Source organism: Homo sapiens, chromosome 11, assembly GCF_000001405.40.
Source record: "Homo sapiens chromosome 11, GRCh38.p14 Primary Assembly".
NCBI classification, from domain to species: domain Eukaryota; kingdom Metazoa; phylum Chordata; class Mammalia; order Primates; family Hominidae; genus Homo; species Homo sapiens.
In genome coordinates this window covers 106926142-106949583 of record NC_000011.10, presented here as the reverse complement: position 1 = coordinate 106949583, position 23442 = coordinate 106926142, and the positions used below count along the sequence as shown (strand labels likewise).

The 23442-nt window shown below is 35.2% G+C and overlaps 1 protein-coding gene across 2 annotated transcripts in view; it reads left to right on the top strand.

The window, feature by feature from the left end:
* GUCY1A2 (guanylate cyclase 1 soluble subunit alpha 2) overlaps positions 1–23442 on the top strand; it is a 344458-nt gene that overhangs the window by 68893 nt on the left and 252123 nt on the right. For both annotated transcript variants that reach the window (NM_000855.3, NM_001256424.2), the window contains exon 4: positions 9406–10124. In NM_000855.3, coding sequence (NP_000846.1) covers positions 9406–10124 — 719 coding nt within the window. The remainder of the gene's footprint in view (positions 1–9405; positions 10125–23442) is intronic.

Genomic DNA, 23442 nt, shown 5'->3' with positions numbered 1-23442 from the left:
AGACATCTATCTCGGTCTCAGAGTGTCAAGGAAAGCATTCTGAAGGAATTTTGGTGTGAAGATATGCAAAATAAGTGAAGCAGAGAACTAGCTAAGTGGGGTAGGTAGGAGAACAGAATCCTAGTTAAAAAACAAAATAAAACAAAACACAGAACCAGCCATGTACAGAAGCCTGTAAATGAGAGAGAGATTGTTGAGCATGTTCAGGAAACTGAAAAGTGGTTCATAATGGCTGGTATAGAGGTGTGAAATGGGGGACTGAGAGAGGGAAGGATGGGCTAGTAAGTAAAAGCTGGACTAAGCCTTGCTGATTTTGGACTTTATTCAGAAGGCAACAGTCATTGGAGGGCTTTCCAGAGAAACAATATGATGAGATGTATAATTCTAGACTACTGATCATGGTGGCCTAAAACAAAGTAGTGGTATTTAGGATAGAGAGACTAGCAGAATGTCAGGGGAGATGCATTATGAACTTACACACAACACACACACACAATCGTAATTTTATTAAAATAAAAAAATCATATTCTAAATTATTTTGACAGTTTTAGCTTAGCTTTATATCATACAAAATCAAGCATCTTTTTACATCTTTTTTATATGTTTGCTTGTTTTGGTTAAGGCATACATACCGTCCCCTAGATCTTCTAAAATATTTATTGCTTCATCTTTTGCATTGTACGATCTTAATTGATCTGGAATTTGATTTTGTTTGAGGCATGAGATGGGATTTAATTTTATTGTTTTCCAGATGGCTAGTGCCATTTATTAAGTAAACCATTCTTTTCCCTTTGAATTGAAATACTGTTCTGTGGTATATTAAAACTTCTCATATACACAGATTTACTTCAGCAAAATGACATAATTTTATGCTTTTTTGCAATGTGTTTACTGGTTATTTTATTTTCATATCTCACAGTATTTTCTAGAACCTCCAAGATAATATTGAAAACGATGATAGCAAGCATACTTGTCAAATTTCTGATTTTAGTTAAAATGTTTTTAGTATTTTGCTATTTAGAATAAGCTGCTTCTGGTTTTTGGAAAAGATCTTTTATTATATTTGAACAGTTTCTTTATATCTTATTTTATTCAAAATGCTTATTAAGACTTGAATCTCACACTTTTCAGAATCTACTGATATGATCATATTTTGTTTACTTTTATGAATGTAATAATTTATGCTGATATATTTTCCACTGCTGAACTACCGTTTCATTTCTGATATAAATCCTACTTGGTCATGATGATTTATTCTTTTATAAATCGCTAGATTCTATCTGCTACTATTTTTGCAAATATTCATAAGAGAAATTGGTCTTAGTATACTGTATCAGCTTTTGACATAAAGTTATTTGGGATTAATAAAAAGAATTGAGTGATTTTAATTTTTTTCTATGGCCGGAAAATATTTTAAAAACTTTGCAGTCATCTAGTTTTTTTCCTAATTGCTAGCCAGAACTCAGGTTCTTCTTGAGTCAACTTTGGTCATTTATACTTTGCCAGATACTTACCCATTTCCATTCCATTTACACATTTGTTCACAGCAAGTTGCATGTTTCTTTTCTGATTTATCTAATTCGTCTTAATATGTGCCTATGTATTCTTATTCCAATTTAGTTACTTTCTTTCTTAATTTCAGCTTTTATCTATTAATTCCTACTCCATAGTTTTTTTCTTAAGCTCATTACAGTTTTCTTAATTTGGAAGCTCTTTATTTACTTATTTATTTTTGTTGCTGAAAACATTTCTGGCATTTTCCTTGAGTATAGTTTTGTTGTACCTCAGAATTGTGTATGATGCAGGCTCCTTTTTATTGATTTCTAAAAGTTATAATTCCAATTTTGACTTTCCCTGTAATCCAAGAGAATGTATTGCTTAACTCTCAAATATATATGCCACCTTTTGGTTATTTCTGTTTATTATTAAAAATGTGATCTGTAAAATCTTTAAAATATTTTATGGGGTTTTTATGATCAAGTATTTGAGCAATTTTTGTAATTTTACATACATATAATACATATGTACATATACAAATGTTTTGAGTTTGTTGCTTTTGCTATTTTATTTTTCTGACTTTGCCTTTTTGTTAGTTTTTATTATTAACATTTATTTAATTTCTCTGATTTTGCTTTTTAGTTTTGATCTTTTGATTTCTCAAAAGGACACATTAAAGTTTTTCACTAAAATTTTATTTTTATCAAGGTTTTCTTTTATCTTCATTGTTCTGTTGTATATAATTTTAATTTCTCTATGATTTTGCTGATCTATTCGTTACATAGCTTGGTACTGAGAGACATGTATTAGTGTTTCCTACTATAATTATAGTTGTATAGATTTCTTCTTTCATTCTTTTTTTTTTTTTGTGAGATGGAGTCTTGCTTTGTCACCCAGGCTGGAGTGCAATGGTGCGATCTTGGCTCACTGCAACCTCTGCCTCCCAGGTTCAAGCGATTCTCCTGCCTCAGCCTCATGAGTAGCTGGGATTACAGGAACCTGCCACTGCGCCCAGCTAATTTTTGTATTTTTTAGTAGAGATGGGTTTCACCATCTTGGCCAGGCTGGTCTCGAATTCCTGACTTCATTATCCACCCGCCTCGGCCTCCCAAAGTGCTGGGATTACAGGTGTGAGCCACTGTGCCCAGCCTCTTCTTTCATTCTTAATTTTGAAAATATATAATTTTGAAACTATATAATGCTTTATTGAAATATGATTTACATACCATGCAATTTACCTAACAAAAGTGTACAATTCGATGGTTGTTAATATATTCACAAAGTTTTGCAACCATCACTACAATCAATTTTAGAACATTTTCATCACTCCAAAAAGAAACCCCATACTCATTAGTAATTAATTCCTAATTGTTTTTGCTTTATATATTTAGCTACAATGTTGCTTGGTTTATGTCTCTTAGGTCTTCTTTGTAAATTGTGATTTTGTTTTACTTTGTCTCTTTTTATTCTGTTTATCACTTCTCCCCTTATTCTACCTTGTTGATATTAATATTGCCCCTCCATTGCTGCTTTTTTTCTTGCAGTTTCTTTGAATTCTTTGCCTGTTGACTCATTTTCAACCTTTTATTTTTTAATCACCTTTTATAAGTACAATTCTTGTGAGAGTTTTCTCATTTAATGGGATGATTTATTCATTTACATTTACTTTAATCCGTGAGCTATATGATTTTCTTGATTTATCATATTTCTTTTACATTGTTTTTGTTTCTGGTCTTTTGCTGTTTTGATCATGTTGACATATACATAATATTTGACCTTGTATTTGGAGAGTTCTACTCCAATTTCCCATTTCATTATTGATTATCTTCCTTTTTCTCTTAGTAGAATTAGACCCATGGGTTTTTTATTATTTTAAAACAAAATATCAATTATTTTCTTTCTAAGATTATATTATTCCTATCCCCCCAAATCCCCTTAAGAAGAAACTTTTAGAATAGGTTTACTTTTCTCCTCTCTACCTTCTCCCCTCTCCTCACCATCCAAGTCCTGTGGTTTGCTGAGATTGTTTAGTTTCAGAATATGAACAAAATTTACCTTGTGGTAGTTTGGTAGTTTTTCTATGTATCAGTAGCTTTTTTGTTTGTTTGTTTGTTTGTTTTTTGAGATGGGTTTCGCTCTTGTTGCCCAGGCTGGAGTGCAGTGGTGTGATCTCAGCTCACTGCAACCTCCGCCTCCCAGGTTCAAGCGATTCTCCTGCCTCAGCTTTCCCAAGTAGCTGGGATTATAGGCATGCGCCACCATGCCCAGATAATTTTGTATTTTTAGTAGAGACAGGGTTTCTCCATGTTGGTCAGGCTGGTCTCGAACTCCTGACCTCAGGTGATCTGCCCGCCTCGGCCTCCCAAAGTGCTGGGATTACAGGCGTAAGCCACCGCACCCGGCCTGTATCAGTAATTTAAAATTAATGTTCATACTACAACTGTCCAGGTAATAGGTCATTATCCATAATACATGTCTAATATGTATAAATGTGTGGACATTTGTATGTATGTACACATTTGTATATGATGTATATGTACACATACATCAGAAAGCATGTGTCTATGTGTGTGTTGTAGGGTTCATTGCTCACTAATGTGTCTACTTTTCCTTCTTCTCTTAACCAGACTCCTCTACTTCTTCATTCTGAGTGATTTCTTGATCGATTAATGTGTTTTTTTGTTTTGTTTTTTTTGTTTTTGTTTTTTTTCATTTTCTAAGGTGTTTCACTGAGTGATGGAATCTCTGAATCTTTGCCAGATACTCTTCTGGGTGATAAACTTTTAGGTTTCAGTTCTCTCAGTATCTCACCTGTATTTTTCTCTCATCATCTAGCTTTCATTGTTGCAGATGAAAAGTAAATTTTTTTTAATTACCTGTTTTCTCTTGCAACTTAAAAGATCTTCTTTATCTCTCTCTCTCTTTTTTTTTTTTCAGGAATCCAACCAGATATTCTTAGGGGTGTGTGTGTGTGTCTGTGTTTCTTATCATTCCTGGTTGCAATTTATGCTTTTTCCATCTGTAGATGTAGGATTTTCCATGGTTCAGGGGAAATTCTCTCTGTAATTCATTTAGTTATAGTCCTTCTTCCATTGGTTTCTTTTTTCTCATTCTACATTATAGTGTTTTTAGAGGTTGTTCCTCTAAATATGTTTATGGAAAATAGAAGGATCACAGAAAAAATACTACAAGGGACTATCTGCTATTTTATAAGAAAGACACGGACATGTGCTTTGTGATTTGAAAGGAAGGAGTAACACTGATAGTTTTGTAGTGTATGTTTATGATACTGCACTTGTTAGATGTGGTTACTAGGTGAAAAAATTCGTTTCAGAGTACTCACATGGGGGTTGGCTTCATCTTCATTATACCACATTTCTCATTGTTAAAATTTATTTCTGATGTATGTTTTAAAACATAAATTCACAGATTAAAAAATTTTATTTTAAATTCAGGGGTACATGTGCAGGTTTGTTATATAGGTAACCTTGTGTCATGGGGGTTTGGTGTTCAGATTATTTCGCCACTCAGATATTAAACCTGGTACCGTTCAGTTATTTTTTGTGATCTTCTTTCTCCTCCCAAAGATGGCTCCCCAGTGAATGCTTCCTGACATTTACACTCTTCTACAGTAATTTTCAGTACAAGGTCTCACTCTGTCACTCAGGCTGGAGTACAGTGGTGCAGTCACAGCTCACTGCAGCCTAGACTTGCTTGGGCTCAGGTGATTCTCCCACCTCAGCCTCCAGAGTAGCTGGGACTGCGGGCCTGCACCACTATGCCTGGCTCTTTTTTTGTATTTTTAGTAAAGACAGGGTTTAGGCATGTTGCCCAGGCTGGGACCACCTGCTTTTTTTTTTTTTTTTTTTTTGGAGACAGGGTCTCACTCTGTTGCCCAGGCTGGAGTGCAGTGGTATGATCACGGGTCACTGCTACCTCAACATCCTGGGCTCCAGTGATTCTCCCACCTCAGCCTCCCGAGTAGCTGGGACTACGGACTACAGGCATGTACCACCATGCCCTGCTAATTTTTGTACTTTTTTCTAGATATGGGGTTTCACCATGTTGGGCAGGCTGGGTCTTGAACTTCTGGACTCAAGCAATCAGCCTGCTTTGGCCTCCCAAAGTGCTAGGTTTACAGGCATGACCCACTGTGCCCAGCCTAACCTGTTTTTTTATTTAAGTCTCCCTTCAAACATTGTCTCTCTGAGGAGAGGCAGATACTGTTTTTCTTCTACTTCCGTGGGTACTCCTGTGTACCCCTGTTGTAGCCCAACCATAATGTAATTTACTGTTTTGTAGGGGCCCATGAGAGAAAGTCATGTGTCTTTTTGTTTTCATATCCTTAGATGTGGCACAAGTGCAACCTTAAAAGGTTAGTAATATTCACCAAACAAATACTTAGATGAATGCTTAATTTCTATGAAACAATGCTTATTCTCCAGGTGTCAGGCATTATGCCAGTGATAGATACGCAGACATAAATAGGGCAAGGTCCTTGTCCTCAAGAAATGCCATCTGAGGTGGGGTGGGATAGCAGATGAGAGACAACAGGGCCAGATCATGAAGGAACAGATCGTATTTCATTTACAGCTAAAGGATGCCAGCATTTATGCTATTCACCTTTTTAAAGAGGTGAATTAACAGTAGTTAAAAATTCTAACTTAACTTACCCATTAATAAGAGCAGCTTTGTTATAAATTTTGCCACTTGAGGAAATGTATTCTTATAGACCCAGATGTCAAGCTGTCATAGAATCTTGTGATGTGAGGAGATTAGCATTGTCTATATGTTTCAAATGATTTACTGTAAGTAGGGGGTTTGCGTCAATCGTAGGCGGAACTTTGGGAGTCAGAATTGCATCAGTTGTCTGAATTGAATTACTTTGTCTGTGCTTTCTGAATTTTGAGATTAAAGTTTAAAATCAAAGTCTTGGCTATTGACTTGTATATTTGTAAAAGTTGAAGTAATCTTTTCTTAGTTTTAATATTTTCAAATCTAATAACTTTTTTCTTTTCTGATCTTGTGCAGTTTAACAGTTCTGGGAATAAAAATCTTTATTAGTTAATTGAATATTATGGGTTTATATAGAATTGCCATTCATAATATTTTAATGTAATATTCAAAAAAATTCATTTTTTTTTAGTAATACAACCGTCACTTTAGCATCTGGTATTCCTTAGCATCATCATTTGAAAATTAACAATATTGTACCTTAAAGTACAGAGGTCCTTTATAAAGCAGCAGGCTTTCTAGTTGATAGATTGCTGCGCATAGAGTAGTTTTTAGTTTGTTGCCTATGGTGAACTTCTTATTTTCTGGATGATTCTTTGGGATCCTGGCATTAGGCACAGAACATAAGCTTACACTGTATTGTCTTTACATTTGTGTGCACCATAACTGTGAGGACCTTTTCAATGTTATGAAAAATGCAAGTTAGAAGAACTTCTCTTTTTCTCTTCAATGCACATGGACCTGAAGTCTTTTGAAAATACAGTTCTTCAAAGTTTAGAAGCAATCCATGGAATATTTTCAGTGACACACGGAATATTGTAGTTCAGCATATATGGTCAGTTTATAGGAATTTTTATTTATTCTGTATTTAGTTTTTAATAAGAATTTCATAACTGGAAGATTTCATAGCAACAAAGGACTGTCATTGAATGTGTATATAAATTTAACTTGTATCTTAGAGTTTTCTAGTTATAACATAGTGATGGTGATGTAAGGATTTGGCATAGAAAGAAGTTTTAGTGAAGGAAGTGAGAATTAATGTTCATGCAGAGTAATCAAACCAGGAGAGTATGGTTTGATAAGCCAAAAGAGATGAGAGTTTTAGGAGGAAGGGATGATTAATAGTGTCAAATTAAAGGAAAAACAGCAAACAAGGTTAAGTAAGATAAGGACAAAACAGTATGTATTGATTTAAGTATTTATGAAAGCAGTTTCAACAGAGCAGTTGGAACAGGAGACTAATGGCAGTGAATATTGTCTGTCTTTGTTTTCTCTTCTACACTAGAGAACTGGACAGATAAGTACTATTATTGTCTATTCTGGCTGACATTATTGTTAGTGAATGCAACACATGTTGAAGAGCAGTCTTGTAACCTGGCAATGTGACATGAGTGGTGATATTTTTATCTTAATAAGTGACTTTCTCAACAAGTCTTGAGCATCCAATCCATGAAACCAAAATGAATATGAAATGCTTATTAATAAAGGGACTGTTTCTCACTTAGGTTTTCTACTCATTTTCCTATCACATTGATTTTAAGAAGTTCTTTGTCAAACTGACTTCTTGGCTACCAGAAGTTTTAGACTCTATAGTAAGCTCTTAAAGAATATTAGATGTGCTTTGACTATTTTAAAAACAATATTATTCACTCTGTTCATTTGCCTCACTTCTGGCTGGGAGGAACACTCAGGGAATGATAAAGGTAGGAAAGCAGCTAAGCTGTAGACAGCCTAGATTGCTCTGCACTCTAATGGGGCGCTAGCAAAGTGACCTTCTTTTCCCAGTCCTGCCTGATTTGCAGGACTTCAAATGAGATGATGGAAATGGGGCAAGAAAATATGAATATGTAAACTACATGTATTGATTTCAACCAATGTCAAAGGAGAAGCAATAGAGTTTAGGTAGAAGCTGTCTTTAATATGCAGGCCAAAATCTTTTGTATGTGTTATAGTCCTCTTTGGCACATAAATTCCCTCATTTTTCCTCATATCATCCTCAAGGGGGGGATCTTGTGATCACATGTGATCCTGCTTCTTATTACGATAGAATACATTGTGCACACTTATTTATTTTTCATTGTAATATCCAGCACTATAAGGTGGAACTCTTTTGCCAGGGCATCAGGGAGTGATTATATATGGAGAAAACTTAACAATAACCTTTAATTCTGTCTCATCAGATTCCTCCTCCATGCTTGGCTGCCCTTACTTTTGTGGGTGAAAGAATGTAAATCATTCCAGAGTTCTGTCATTATTATTTTCTTGTTTTTTCTCCTTTTCCCTGAGGTCTAGCTGACCTGCATGTCTTTCCCTGAGATTGCTAATGTAAGCCTTTTGTTTCCACCAGATAGCTTGATGCCTATCCCCATTCATGTGCCATAGATTTCTTTTCTGGTTTATATTTTCCACTTAATACATGCATTTCGATAAGAAGTAAGATGATAATATGGATGTAATATGGACATAATATGTAGGCAACTTGGATATTCTGTGAAGAATGGGGAAATCATTAAGAAAAAGAAAAATATATTATTTATGATAACTACTGCAAGGCTATTGAAAGGTGAACAGCTAGATTAGCAACATTTAAAAAGCTGATGCTCTGGGAGTTAGGGAGAAGGAAGGGATAAACAGGATTTTTAGGGCAGTGAAAATGCTCTAAGTGATATGATAAGTGTATACATATCATTATACATTTGTTTAAGCCCACAGAATATACAATATTAAGAGTGAGCCTTAATGTAAACCATGGAATTTGGATGATAATAATGCATCATGTAGGTTCATGGATTGTAATAAATGTACCACTCTGGTGGGAGATATGATAATGGGGCAGGCTGTGCATGTGTCGGGGCAGAGAGATATGGGAAATAACTGTGCCTTCTGCTCAATTTTGCTGTGACTCTAAAACTGGTCTAAAAATATGTAGTCTATTTAAAAACAAACAAAAAGGTTCATGTTCATTAACATTTTAGAGGCATCCTGAAGATGAACTGAAATTTATATTTTCTGATTCAAGATGAGTGAATTAACCTATGTGGAAATTTGTGGATCTAAGAGAAATAACCTTTGTTACTTTATTCAGTAGTTACTCTTTTGATAAGCACTTAAAAAGCTATAAATTCAATTATTTATATTAGACTTCACTAACATTTGCTTCCCATTTACCTCTAGGTTTGAAGTTTGAGGAAATTCAAAAAAGATTTGGTGAAGAGTTCTTTAATATATGCTTTCATGAGAATGAGAGAGTCCTTCGAGCTGTAGGTGGCACTTTGCAGGACTTTTTTAACGGCTTTGATGCTTTGTTGGAACACATTAGAACTTCTTTTGGAAAACAGGCCACTCTGGAGTCACCATCTTTCCTATGCAAAGAGCTCCCTGAAGGTACTCTCATGCTCCACTACTTCCACCCTCACCATATTGTGGGGTTTGCAATGCTGGGGATGATTAAGGCTGCAGGAAAGAAGATCTATCGGCTGGATGTGGAAGTGGAACAGGTTGCAAATGAGAAGCTATGCTCTGATGTTTCAAACCCAGGCAATTGTAGCTGTCTTACTTTCCTTATCAAAGAATGTGAAAATACTAATATCATGAAGAACCTTCCACAGGGAACCTCCCAAGTTCCTGCGGACCTCAGAATTAGCATCAACACCTTCTGTAGAGCCTTCCCTTTCCACTTGATGTTTGATCCCAGCATGTCAGTCCTTCAGTTGGGGGAAGGTCTAAGGAAGCAGCTTCGATGTGACACTCACAAAGTGCTCAAGTTTGAGGACTGCTTCGAGATTGTATCTCCAAAGGTTAATGCCACCTTTGAAAGGGTCCTGCTGCGACTGTCTACCCCGTTTGTGATTAGAACCAAGCCTGAGGCTTCTGGCTCTGAAAATAAAGACAAGGTAAGTGCTATGGACTTGAGATGGTGATGGGAACTAGAAGAGTGGATAATTATTTCAGTAAATTACATGGTGGCTGTACTTGTAATTATTTAGGCAAGAGAGCTTAAAGTGCCATTTAGAAGATTACTGGTCCCTGGATGTATGTAAAAAGATTTGGCCTCATTCCCAGCCATTTTGCATAGTGTCTGCCTCCTCCATTAATTTATTTCAGCATATAAAAAGAAGACATTTATTAATACTAGCTATAGCAATTACAAAAATGATAGAACTCACTAAAAACCTGATAATATAAACACATGAATATTTCCACTGAATGTAGTCAAACTATGAGAAATATAGCATTTCAATATTGTGGGGCGTGACTGCAATATCTTTAAATACATATGCTAAAAGTTACCTTCACTTTGAATATGTTCTTTTCTAAATTTCATAATCTGGGAACATCTGGTTTACATCCTATTTTTGTCTTAATATGCAGAATAATGTATTCCCCAAAAGCTGAGAATTGACTATCTCGAGACTTCTGTTTAAATTTTAGTATTAAAATAGAGATTCATTGCTTTAGAACATGATCTCTAGTTGAGAGAATAAAGTGAAGACTAGGAAATTTTTTGTGGATTTCTTTGAATCCCCTTTGGGAAATCTGGATTATAAATTATAAATAATTGATGAAAAGACACCAGAAATAAATCTTAAAATATTTGGGTTTAAATGAACATTTTGTCCCTCAGGTAAAATATTTTAAAAAGTCAACATTAAAATAGATAATAAAATGTAAAGAAAAATAAACCATGATTTTTTATGTTTAGTAATATGCTTTCAGTGATTAAACGGAAAAACAACATTAATTTCCAGGACAGAAATTTGTATAGTTCCATTCAGTTTCCAGTAGAGTGTCTTTTCAACATTTTGTACTAGGGTAAATAAAGTTCTTTTAGGCTATTTAGCCTGTTTCCAAGCATTTGAGGGAAGCTATTAGCTATTAGAAATGACAGGTTGCTCTGGGCTAAAGGAAAGAAGAGTTGTAGAAGTAATTAAAGACTCAGTGAAAATATACATATTCTGGAATAATAATAAATAAATGAGGAAATAGCCCTCTGAAAGCAGCGCTTAACTTGTTTTTGAGGATTTTATACAGCATTAGTTTCATGATTGATGATTTTTATAATTTTGAAGTTCAATGGAAAGTTTTTTAAAAAAAATATTCGAGAAAGATGGCTGGGTGTGGTGGCTCACACCTGTAATCCCAACACTTTGGGAGGCCGAGGTGGGCAGATCGATCACCTGAGGTCAGGAGTTTGAGACCAGCCTGGCCAACATGATGAAACCCCATCTCTACCAAAAACACAAAAAAACGAGCTGGGCATGGTGGCGGGTGCCTGTAATCCCAGCTACTCAGGAGGCTGAGACAGGAGAATCGCTTGAACCCAGGAGGCAGAGGCTGCAGTGAGCTGAGATCATGCCACTGCACTCCAGCCTGGGTGACAAGAGTGAGACTCTGTCTCAAAAAAAAAATTATTTGAGAATGATAGAAAGATGCACATTTATTCAATATGACGAAATCAGGTGGTTTAGGAAATTAATAATGTTTTTATCATACAAGTTCAGTGATTTGAAAATATCTAAGGATAGACCTGGATTCCAGTTTGGCACATTTGGATATTTTAGTCTGAATGAATTAGTATTATTTGATCATATGATGTTTTAAATACAAATTGTCACATATGTATATTATATGTATGTTTAATAATTGCTACCCATTTTGAAGTCCTTTAGAATGGAAGAAACTTGTTAAATGTGTATTTTTGTTCACATTTGTAGATGCTTTAAAACGAGTTATTCTTTCTCTTTAATTTAGGGAATATCAAAACTATCAGTTCTGTTTTACAGAAGCACAATATTTGGCTAGGAGAATTTGAAGCATTTTTGGCCTTTAGAATTGAAGTTGGTGTTTTTGGAAATATTTCTGAACTAGAATATATTATTATCAATGTTGTTGCTTTATATATTTTATCGATTTGGGAAAAATTAATTCATTTTAAAATGACTGCTTCAGGTTTTTTCCCCTTATATTTCATTTGGCTTCTATTTCTATTTAATTTGTATACCAGGGTAAGAAATAGACATAATGAAATGATGACTCAAATGTCAAGGCCCCCTGCCAATTCCAATAATAAGGAACTGTGCTCATTGAGGAGATGCAATTATCATTTAAACATGTTAGTGGCAGTTTAAAAATAAAGTAATAGGCAGGATTTTTAGTTAAAATAAGGATAGAAATCTACTCATCCTTATATTTATTTCTGCTTACTCACCTGAGTTTGCCAGAATGGGACATTTGAGAGGTTACAGTTGCCCCAAATTGATACTATGGTCAGTAAAGTTGTCACATACAGTCTTACCCAGATGAATAACATTTTTAAATTAGTAAGTCATCAAATTTCACATTTACAGTTTATTAAAACATGGAAAGAAGAAAGAAAAATAATATGTAAAAATTGTGTTTTTGTTGATAAATTTGACTTTGTCTTCATTATTTTCCCCATAATAGCTATTCTTGTTAATGTATACCTCTATGATGTCTGAAGTCTCTAATTTTTTAGTTGGCTTTTATAAGAAAATGCTATTTTAAAATAATTTATATTTATTCCTTCTTCTAACATTGAGGGCTCTCATAATTTAACTGTTTTGTTTGTGCATTTAATACCAATGAACCACTACGTCTGCCATAAAAAAAAAAAATCAAGAGCAAGCATGTCACCGAGGGGCATCTGACGCAGTTATCAGTGGCAGGATTCAACAGTCTTGAGGTTAGAAAAAAACTCTTCCAGATGGCTTGACCAAGCTTTGATTCTATCACTTGGTTTCCTCTACATTTTCTCTAAGTGATCATCCATGCCTCACATATTCTTCTCTCTCCCTATTTTCTTTTTCCTCATTATAGTATTCGTATGTTTTCATCTTTCCCTAAACTCAACTTCCTGTCATCATCATCTTTCCTTATCAGATGTCAAACATTAAGTATGAATGAATTGGTTGTTTTTAAAAAACCCAACAGATTCAGTGTAGAGAATAAAGACTGAATTAATCCATGTTAATTTGTGCTGTGTATTTCTTTCATTCCATGTATATCAAATATTGTTCTGAGAATTTGGAAATGTATTGCATAGATCTTTTGAATTACAAGACATTGTGGTAAATTTGAGATGAATTTTTTTTGCAGCTTAATGAGCAGTTTGCAGTTAATATTTAGTCCATGTAAACATAACCTACTGATATAGATTACAAAGCTTCTTGGTATGGAATGAATCTTGTTTGAGTGAATAGCTTTGTTAGAAATGAGAGTAATAGCACATAGCTTCCTTCTCTGCCAGGTAAGGTCATGATGTGTGGTGAAAGTATCAACAGGCTGGGAGAGAGGTGTCTCTGACAGCCATGATCTTAGTAAATCTTTTTAATGTCTGCACCTCAGTTTTATACATTGGAAATTAATGAACCTAGACAAACTAATATTTTTACTCCTTTACAAATCATACTTAACATATATACATATACATGAGGTCAATTGATCATGATTTTTTTTTTAATTTTTTTTTTAATTTTTTTTTTTGGAGATGGAGTCTTGCTGTGTCTCACCCAGGCTGGAGTGCAGTGGTGTGATCTCAGGTTACCGCAACCTCCACCTCCCTAGTTCAAGCGATTCTCCTGTCTCAGCCTCCCGAGTAGCTGGGACTACAGGTGTGCACTACCACACCCAGCTAATTTTGTATTTTTAGTAGAGACTGGGTTTCACCATGTTTGAGGCCAGACTGGTCTCGTCTCAAACTCCTGACCTCAGGTGATCCACCCACCTTGGCCTATCAAATTGCTGGGATCACAGGCGTGAGCCACCGCACTTGGCCATGAAGCTTTCTTTCATCTCTATGTTTCAGTGAATTCAGATGCATTTTAAAAGAGAGGTGCGGAGAATCTGACTTACCTACCATGAAGGGATCATCTTGTTATCAAGAATTAGTTAAAATAATTCTCTGGTAGTTTAGGCTGCCTACCTCAGAAAGTTATTTGGGAGGATTAAATGACATAATCCATGTAAAATTCTTAGCATCTTTGACCCCAGGGATAAGCACTGCATAAATGTTCATTATTACTTCTACTGCTATTATTAGTTGTGTTCCTTTCCACCTATAACAGTCTCCGTATTTATTCCCCTATTCACTTACTGCCTTATAGATGAAAGCACCAGGTATCAGTAGGTTTGATAATTTTAGAGAAATATTGAGCTCACCTAACATCTTCCTAAAATATGCCTTGGACCCTGCTGCTTGTCTCCTTAATAAAGACTAGAAGACCACTTGTCACACATTCTATAGGAGCTCTGTTTGGATCTGCATTTTATTTACATACTATCATTGTTTTAAAATCTCTGGTCTCTGTCAGATTGATGAAGGTTTGGAATCGAGTTTTCATTACCTGTATCTACTAATGTCTTTTATGTTCATTTATCAGAGCATTGTGCAGTAACTTCCAAAATAAAATGGATGTGTTAACTTAGGCACAACCTGAAGCAGCAACGGATTTTGAGAAACAATAAATAACATGAGTTCTTTTGACATTTTTTTTTAGTAGCATCACTTGAGAGAACTTTAATAGCACCTTGGAAGGAACCCAGCATTTGAAATACATCATCCCTGCGACAGAGCAATAGCATTGTTATTCATCTTCACTTTTGTTCTCAGGGTTGGAACTGAGGAAAAGCATAACAAAAACACATTTCTTTTTTAATTCCCAGAAATATGCTCTCATTTGTCTTATTAATTAGAAGCTACAATCAAACGCTGGGAAACAATTTTCAAAGAATAAAGTAGGAAATGTCTGGTTTTCTGTGGCCAAATCAGTTTTCAGAATACTCTCTTATCTTTTCTAGACAGTTGCCCACCTTTTTCTGAGGCGATGATTGAAAAGTTTTTAAGTATTTATTAATCTTACTATACCATAATGAAACCGTTGAAAGACAAGTTTCATCTTGCTGTCAAGAATACATTATTTGACTTCAACCTTAATTTAATTTGAGAAAGTGTGAGCATTTCTTCTTTGTTCAGATAATAATATTTTATTAGAGAATTTCAAATATTGAACTGTAGTTACCTTTAGTGATGAACAACCTGACATTAGAGCTTTCTCTATACATTAGCAGAGCTGAGACATGATTTCGTTCAGAATTACCTGGAGTTCACTCTGTTCTTGTAAGTATGAATGAGACCTTTATTTTTAATTTGTGTGTTGCTTACCTTTCTCTAGAACTGCTCTCTGATCATTGCCCTTTTTTCTTTTAATGTAATTTATTATTTTTTAATAATTTGAACTTCATCTAGATTCAGTGGGTACATGTATGGGTTTGTTACGTGGGTATATTGCATGATGCTGAGGTTTGGGCTTTGACTGATCCCCTCACCCAGGTCCTAAGCATAGTGCCCAATAGTTTTTCAACCCTTGTCCCCCCTTTCCCATCCAGTAGTCTTCAATGTCTATTGTTGCCATCTTTATGTCCATGAGCACCAATGTTTAGCTCCCACTTTTAAGTGAGAACATGCGGTATTTGGTTTTCCGTTCCTGTGTTTGTTTGCTTAGAATGGTGGCCTCAAGCTGCATCTTTTTTTATGGCTGCATAGCTGCATCCAGCTATGTGTTCTTTTTAATGGTTGCACAATATTCCATGATATATATGTACTACATTGTCTTTATCCAATCCACCACTGATGGGCACCTGGGTTGATTCCCTGTCTTCGCTATTGTGAATAGTGCTGCAATAATCATATGAGTGCAGTGTCTTTTGAGTAGAATGATTTATTTTCTTTTGGATATATAACCAGTAATGCAATTGCTAGGTCAAATGGTAGCTCTTTTTAACTTCTTTGAGAAATCTCCAAACTGTTTTTCACAAACGCTGAACTAATTTATAGTCCCACCAACAACGTATAAGTGTTCCCTTTTCTCCACAGCCTTGCCAGCATCTGTTGCTTTTGACTTATTAATAATACCCATTCTGCCTGGTGTGAGATGGTATCTCATTGTGGGTTTGATTTGCATTTTTCTGATATTTAGTGATGTTGAGTATTTTTTTATATGTTTGGTGGCTGTTTTTATGTTTTATTTTGAGAAATGTCTGTTCATGTATTTTGCCTATTTTTAATGGTGTTATTTTTTGTTTGCTTAACTTCCTTATAGATTTTGGTTATTAGACCTTTGTTAGATGCATAGTTTATGAATATTTTCTCCCATTTTTTAGGTTGTTTACTCTGTTCATTTACTTTGCTTTTCAGAAGCTCTTTAGTTTAATTAGGTCCCACTTGTCAATTTTTGTTTTGTTTTGTTGCTTTTGGGACTTAGTAACAAATTCTTTCCCAAGGCCAGTGTCCAGAATGGTGTTTCCTAGGTTTTCTTCTAGGATTCTTACTGTTCGAGGTCTTACATTTAAATATTTAATCCATCTTGAGTTCATTTTTGTATATGGTAAAAGGCAGGGGTCCCATTTCATTCACCTGCATACAGCTAGCCAGCTATCCCAGCACCATTTATTGAATAGGGAGTCCTTTCCCTATTGCTTATTTTTGTCAACTTTGCTGAAGATCAGATGGCTGTGTGTAGCTTTATTTCTGGGTTTTCTATTCTGTTCCACTGGTTTATGTGTCTGTTTCTGTAATAATACCAAGCTATTTTGGTTATTGTAACCTTATAGTATAGTTTGAAGTCAGGTAATGTGATGCCTCTGGCTTTGTTCTTTTTGCTTAGGATTGCTTTGGTTATTTGGGCTCTTTTTTTGGTTCCATATGAACTTTAGAATAGTTTTTTCCAGTTCTGTGAAAAATAATGATGGTATCTTGATAGGAATAGCATTGAATCTGTAGATTACTTTGGGCAGTATGGCCATTTTAATGATACTGACTCTTCTAAACTATGAGCGACAAGGCTCATGTATGATATTTTGATGCAGATATTAGTGATGTTCATGCTGGTTCTGGGTTTTTAAAAATTAGTATAAGGTTAAAATTGCTGTATGGTATTTTTTTTAAATGAACCACACAGGAGGCTTAATGGCATTGTTCCTGTATAGTTACTTTATTGTGTATAGTAAGAGGACACTGTACATGATTACATGATGAATTATGTATTCCCAATAGTCATCTATAGGCTTAAAGTGCTTATTTTGCCATATTTAATTTTTGTTAACAAGAAATATTGTAGCCCTGAGCATAACAGGAGGTACCTCCTATTGGAGATCAGATTTTTATTTAGTTCTATTAAAGGTTTGTAGGTTCTCAGGGATAAAAATCAATCCCTTTAGTTAAAAATCATACAGAATCTTCCTTTAACTGTTCCTTTTGTTTTTAAGTTAGAATCATTTTAGCCAGTAGCTTTAAGTCTCAGTGAAAAAAAAATACATGTTTTCAATGTGTTGTCTACCTCTTCATTTTTTGATAGTTTCCTGTTTGTTCTTGTGTACTTTTTTGGTAAGTATACAGTGCAATAATTTTTAGTAAATGAATATAATAGTGCATCTACGACAACAATTTGGTTTTAGAAAACTTTATCACCCCCAAAAGTTTACCCATTTGCAGTTAATTCCTGCTCCTACCTCCAACTGCAGCCAACCACTGGCCTACTTTCATCTCTATAGATTTGCTTCTTCTACTCATTTCTTACAAATGTCATCATACAATTAGTTATCTTTCTTTTTCTTTTGGTTTGCCATCATGTTTTTGAGCTTATCTGTAGTGTAGTATGCATCAGCAGATTGTTAATTTTTCCTGATGAACAGTATTCTATTGCATAGATACCACACGGTTTGTTTATCCATTCACCAGTTGATGGACATTGATTTTCCAGATTTTGGCTATTATGAATAATGTTGCAATGAACATTCACATACAAGAGTTTGTGTGGATATGTTCCCATTTCTCTTGAACTGATTTGCAGTTGTTGCATCATATAGTAAGTACATGTTTAATTTTTAAAGAAGTTGCTGAACTGTTTTTCAAAGAGCTTATGCCATTTCCCATTTGACTGGCAGCGTAAGAAGGTTCAGCTTTTACACTCACACCTGGTATTGTCGGTCTTTTTCATCATAGCCTTCCTAATGAGTGCAAAGTGGTGTCTTAGGTTTTAAGTTATACTTCCCTGATGACTAAAGATGGTAAACATCTTTTCTTATACTTTTTAGTCATTGGTGTAATTTCTTTAGTTAAATATGTAGGCAAATATTTTGTCCATACTTAATTGTTGTTTGCTTTCCTATTAATAAATTGTATTAAAAATATACATTCTAGATATGATATTGTCTTTAAAAGGTACTTCCTATGCAGTTGTCTTTTATAATCTTCAATTTACTGTCCTTTAAAAATATTTATGGAGAAACTTCTGTTCAGAAAGTTTCATTCATAGAAATGTAAGTCTGGGCTTTATCGGTCAACACTGTTTACATATTTCAGTATCTCCTTCAGTTGCACTTGACTTTATCCTTTCTATTGATATCTTAGGTTGAAATAACAGTTTTCCTCTGGATATATTCTGTGTGGCCATATGCTGGTCTCGAACTCTTGACCTCGTGATCCGCCTGCCTTGGCTTGCCAAAGTGCTGGGATTTACAGGCATGGGTCGCTGTGTCCAGCCCCGAAGTACTTTCAAAACAGGAAAAGATATCAAAGGCATGGCAACATAACACACTAGGTTTCTTTTCTTATTATTTTGTTACAGTTTTACTTTTCAAGGATTTTGAGATTTGGTATAATTGAGTTCCAGAACTTAGACATCAACTTAGTATTTTTTCCTATAGCAACTTTTGAATCATGACTTAAGCTACAGCATCTTTCTTTTTGCAATTGGGTTTTATGGTAATTTCTAATTATTATAATTCTGATAGAAACAATTAGCTTTACATATGCTTTGATAGGGCATCATCCTTGAGCAAGCACAGAAAAAAAGCAGTATTGAGAGACAGTATTGTGTATGATTAAGAATACAGTCTCTGTAGAATGGCTTGAAGCCGGGAGGCAGAGGTTGCAATGAGCCAGGATCGCACCACTGCACTCCAGCCTGGTTGACAGAGCGAGACTCTGTCTCAAAAAAAAGAATGCAGTCTCTGTAGCAGGACTTCCCAACTTCAGACTGTTATTTACTAGCTGGGTAACCTTGAGCAAGTTAACTTTTTGAAGCTTGTTTTCATTGCCAACCTCATAGTCAGTGGGCCTCTCTTGTTTGTTCCCATTTCTTTTTAAAATAACTACCACATTCTCCTGACTTCCACAAATATGTTTACTACTTGTTTCAGTTTTATCACTGAAGACATATTTAAACATTCCCTTAGTTGTTTTTCTCATTTTTAATCCTTAGTTTTGACTAAGCCTTACTCCTTTTGTTAAATTTTAGTATCATTATTCTTAGAGAAAAATGCCAAAATATTAATATTTAAAAGGCATATCTGTCTATCCATTAGTATTTATCTGTATCTATGTATCTTAACATTTCTGGCACTGTTTTAAGTGTCTTCCATGAAAATGTTATAAGAAAGGAGTGAAAGCTGCTTTCAAATATTTAAATAGTTATCATATAAAAATTAGATAAAGTTTTTGTTTCAGAAGGCAAAACCAGTGTCAAAGAATAGATGTTATAAGAAAGTAGATTTGGTTAAGAATTAAGAGGAACTTTCCAACAACTGGAGACATTAAAAATGGAGGGAGTTGCCTAGTGAAATAAAGGTCTATATAATACTTGAGAGTTCATAAAGAAAATGAATGACAGTCACTCAGGGATATTTTACTGAAGATTCATAAAGGGAACCCAAACTTTAAAGGTAAATAATATGATCACGTTATTTTTGTAATGCTAGTTTCAGGAATAGGGAGAGTATCCATATTATAAACATTTTGTGCTATTGTGAAAAAAAACTTTGATTCTGTTTTCTTTTCATAGCAGATATGGTTTAACCTTAAAAAGTAATGAATTGGTGGAGTAGAGAGATTTAGAAAAGCTTTGACTATTTAGCAATTCTTCTTCTTTCAAAGCTTAGTACATAGTGGCTTTTAAAATTCAACTCAATAAAGTATGTTTAAAATGCTGCCTGTATTTGGATTCCAAGTTTAGTAGACAATTTCTGCTCCTCAAAATGCAATGAAAACTTGATTTCTATGATCTATGATGAATAATAAAAGCTGCCTTTAAAACATTTTATACTTGTAAGAGTGCTTTATAAGAAAGCCACTTATTTACATTTTTCAGCCTCCATGAAATTGAACCTTTAAGAAATGCTAAAATAGTAAACAAGTAATTAGGCTATGAGTTATTAACAAGTTTTATTTCAGTTTATTTAGTTGTTAGACAAAGCTAGTTTACACATTTCTATTATACTGGTGGCTAAAGATTATGATCACTTATTAGAGAGATCAGTTTCTATTGTACTTATAACATGATTCAGAACCCTTCATTCTGTTTAACAGCATTTCCTTATTCTGTGAAGAAATGAGTACAGTTTACCACATTTTATTTTTCTGAAAATAATCAAAATCCAAGTACAGTCATACACTACACATTGATGGTTTAGTCAGATTGACTGCATATATGACAGTGGTCCCATAGGATTGTAAAGCCGTATTTTATCATACCTTTTCAATGTTTAGACACAAAAATACCATTGTGTTCCAGTTCTTACAGTATTCAGGATAGTCACATACTGTATAGATTTGCAGCCTAGGAGCAATAAGCTCTACCATTTAGCCTATGTGCATTGTAGGCTATGCCTCTAGGTTTGTGTAAGTATACCCTGTTGTTCATATAATGGTGAAATTGCCCAACAGTGTGCTTCTGAGATGTATTTCTCTTGTTGTTAAGTGATTCATGACTGTATTTATGTTTGAATCATACAATAATCTTGGTTCGTTTTCCGTTTTTCCTAATGAAGACATGGTGGTTTTTTTTTTTTCCTTGGAGATACAGGGGGGTCAAAAATCTGAGCATATTGTAGGTGACAAGCAGTGGAAGTTGATTCCAAAACTCTTGCTTTTTGAAGGAGAGGTCAAGAATTATATTTCTTGTCAGCACAGACTCATCTGTGAAGTTGTTGTTGGCTGATGTTAAAAATGCTTGTAATAACATGTGTAGGTTCTTCAAAGGATTGAGATTTCAAGCTTACATGTCTCAAAATTTTGAGTGAAGCAGTGACTCTTTTTTGGCCATTGAACACCAGCTTCAGAAATCCTTCCATCCACTGTAGAAGAGGTGTGAGGGAATCTCTTTCTCTCTGTGAACATATATGGAGAACTCATACTATGATTTATGGCAGCTTGCATTTTCATATTTTTCTAATTTAGATGTTACTATGAATAAGGTAGGTGTAGATCTAACAATAGAATTGCCATAAACAGGAGTTAGAAATTCTTAACATCCTACAGTAAAAGAATTTTGTGCTACTCTGATACATTTTTTAGGTAGGTTATAAATTCTTATCTTACTATCTTAATATGACTAATTATGACAGCTATTTTTCAGTAGTTTAATTACCATTCTACCCTGTTCTGTGGTTATAAAGACTTATTCCAGGCCGGGCGTGGTGGCTCACGCCTGTAATCCCAGCACTTTGGGAGGCTGAGGCAGGTGGATCACCAGGTCAGGAGATCAAGACCATCCTGGCTAACATGGTGAAACCCCGTGTCTACTAAAAATATATTTAAAAAAAAAATTAGCCGGGCGTGGTGGTGGGCGCCTGTAGTCCCGGCTACTCAGGACGTTGAGGCAGGAGAATGGCGTGAACCCGGAAGGTGGAGCTTGCAGTGAGCCGAGATGGCACCACTGCACTCCAGCCTGGGTGACAGAGCGAGACTCTGACTCAAAAAAAAAAGACTTATTCCATACAAGAGTTTATTATTCTGTGAAATAATATATATTATTTTATGTACAATGTTTACATTCTATGTCAACTCAAAAAGAAAATTTTGTGAAGTTTGTGTTCTTATCCCCCCAGTTTATAGAAATAAATAGTACCTAATAAATTATTTATAGTTCTCTTGCTTGTTTCTCTATAATCTTGATTTTTTTTTTGAGACGGAGTCTCGCTCTGTTGCCCAGGCTGGAGTGCAGTAGCGCGATCTCTGCTCACTGCAAGCTCCGCCCCCCGGGTTCGTGCCATTCTCCTGCCTCAACCTCCCGAGTAGCTGGGACTACAGGCGCCCGCCACCACGCCTGGCCAACTTTTTGTATTTTTAGTAGAGACAGGGTTTCACCGTGTTCACCAGGATGGTCTCGATCTCCTAACTGTGTGATCCACCCACCTTGGCCTCCCAAAGTGCTGGGATTACAGGTGTGAGCCACTGCACCCGGCCTCTAATCTTGATTTTATGGGATTATGTATTTCAAAGATTTTACATTTTACCCTGTTAATTTTTTTTTTGTTTTTAAGTAGATACGATTTTTAAACTTGAATCTTCACCACTGAATTACAGAAGAGAATGCACAATTGTCCATTCCCTTCTGTTATTTAGTGGTGAAGATTCAAGTTTAAAAATAGAGAAAATAGAGAAAAAAGATTATTGTGCTGTTCCTGATGGGGATCATTGGACACTATAAAACTGTGTTTGATTTTCCTTAAATAACATGATTTTGGAAACTTTATATATGGTTTGATCACTTTAGTTTTCCCCAGACATTTCTTTCGAGTGAACCATTGTTTTACAGTGTGACCTCCGGGGCACTGCCGATACTCGGTTTATGGGGCTGCTTCTCACCACTATCATATAACAATTTAAATTAATTAATTTAAAAAATGTGTTCGGAGCCTTCTTTAAGTCTAAATATAGAGTGTATGTCTATCTGCTATGTTTCCCTTAACTACTAATTTGATAATTCTAAGGGGAAGAGATGATTCAGTGGGTCTGGTATGAACTGTTCTCTATAATCTGAGCAAGGCTCTGACCTCATCTTTCCTGAAGGTGGAAAAATGGTCTCATAAATTTCTTTTTTTTTTTTTTTTTGAGACAGAGATAGAGTCTCACTCTGTCACCCAGGCTGGAGTGCAGTGGTTTGATCCTGGCTTACTTCAGCCTATACCTCTCAGGTTCAAGCAATTCTCGTGCCTCAGCCTCCCGGGTAGCTGGGACTACAGGTGTGCACCCCTAGGCCCAGCTAAATTTTGTATTATTATTGTTATTAGTAGTAGTAGTGAATACAGGGTTTTGCCATGCTGGCCAGGCTGGTCTAGAACTCCTGGCCTCAAGTGATTCGCCCACCTTGGCCTCTCAAATTGCTATGATTATAGACGTGAACCACTGCGCCC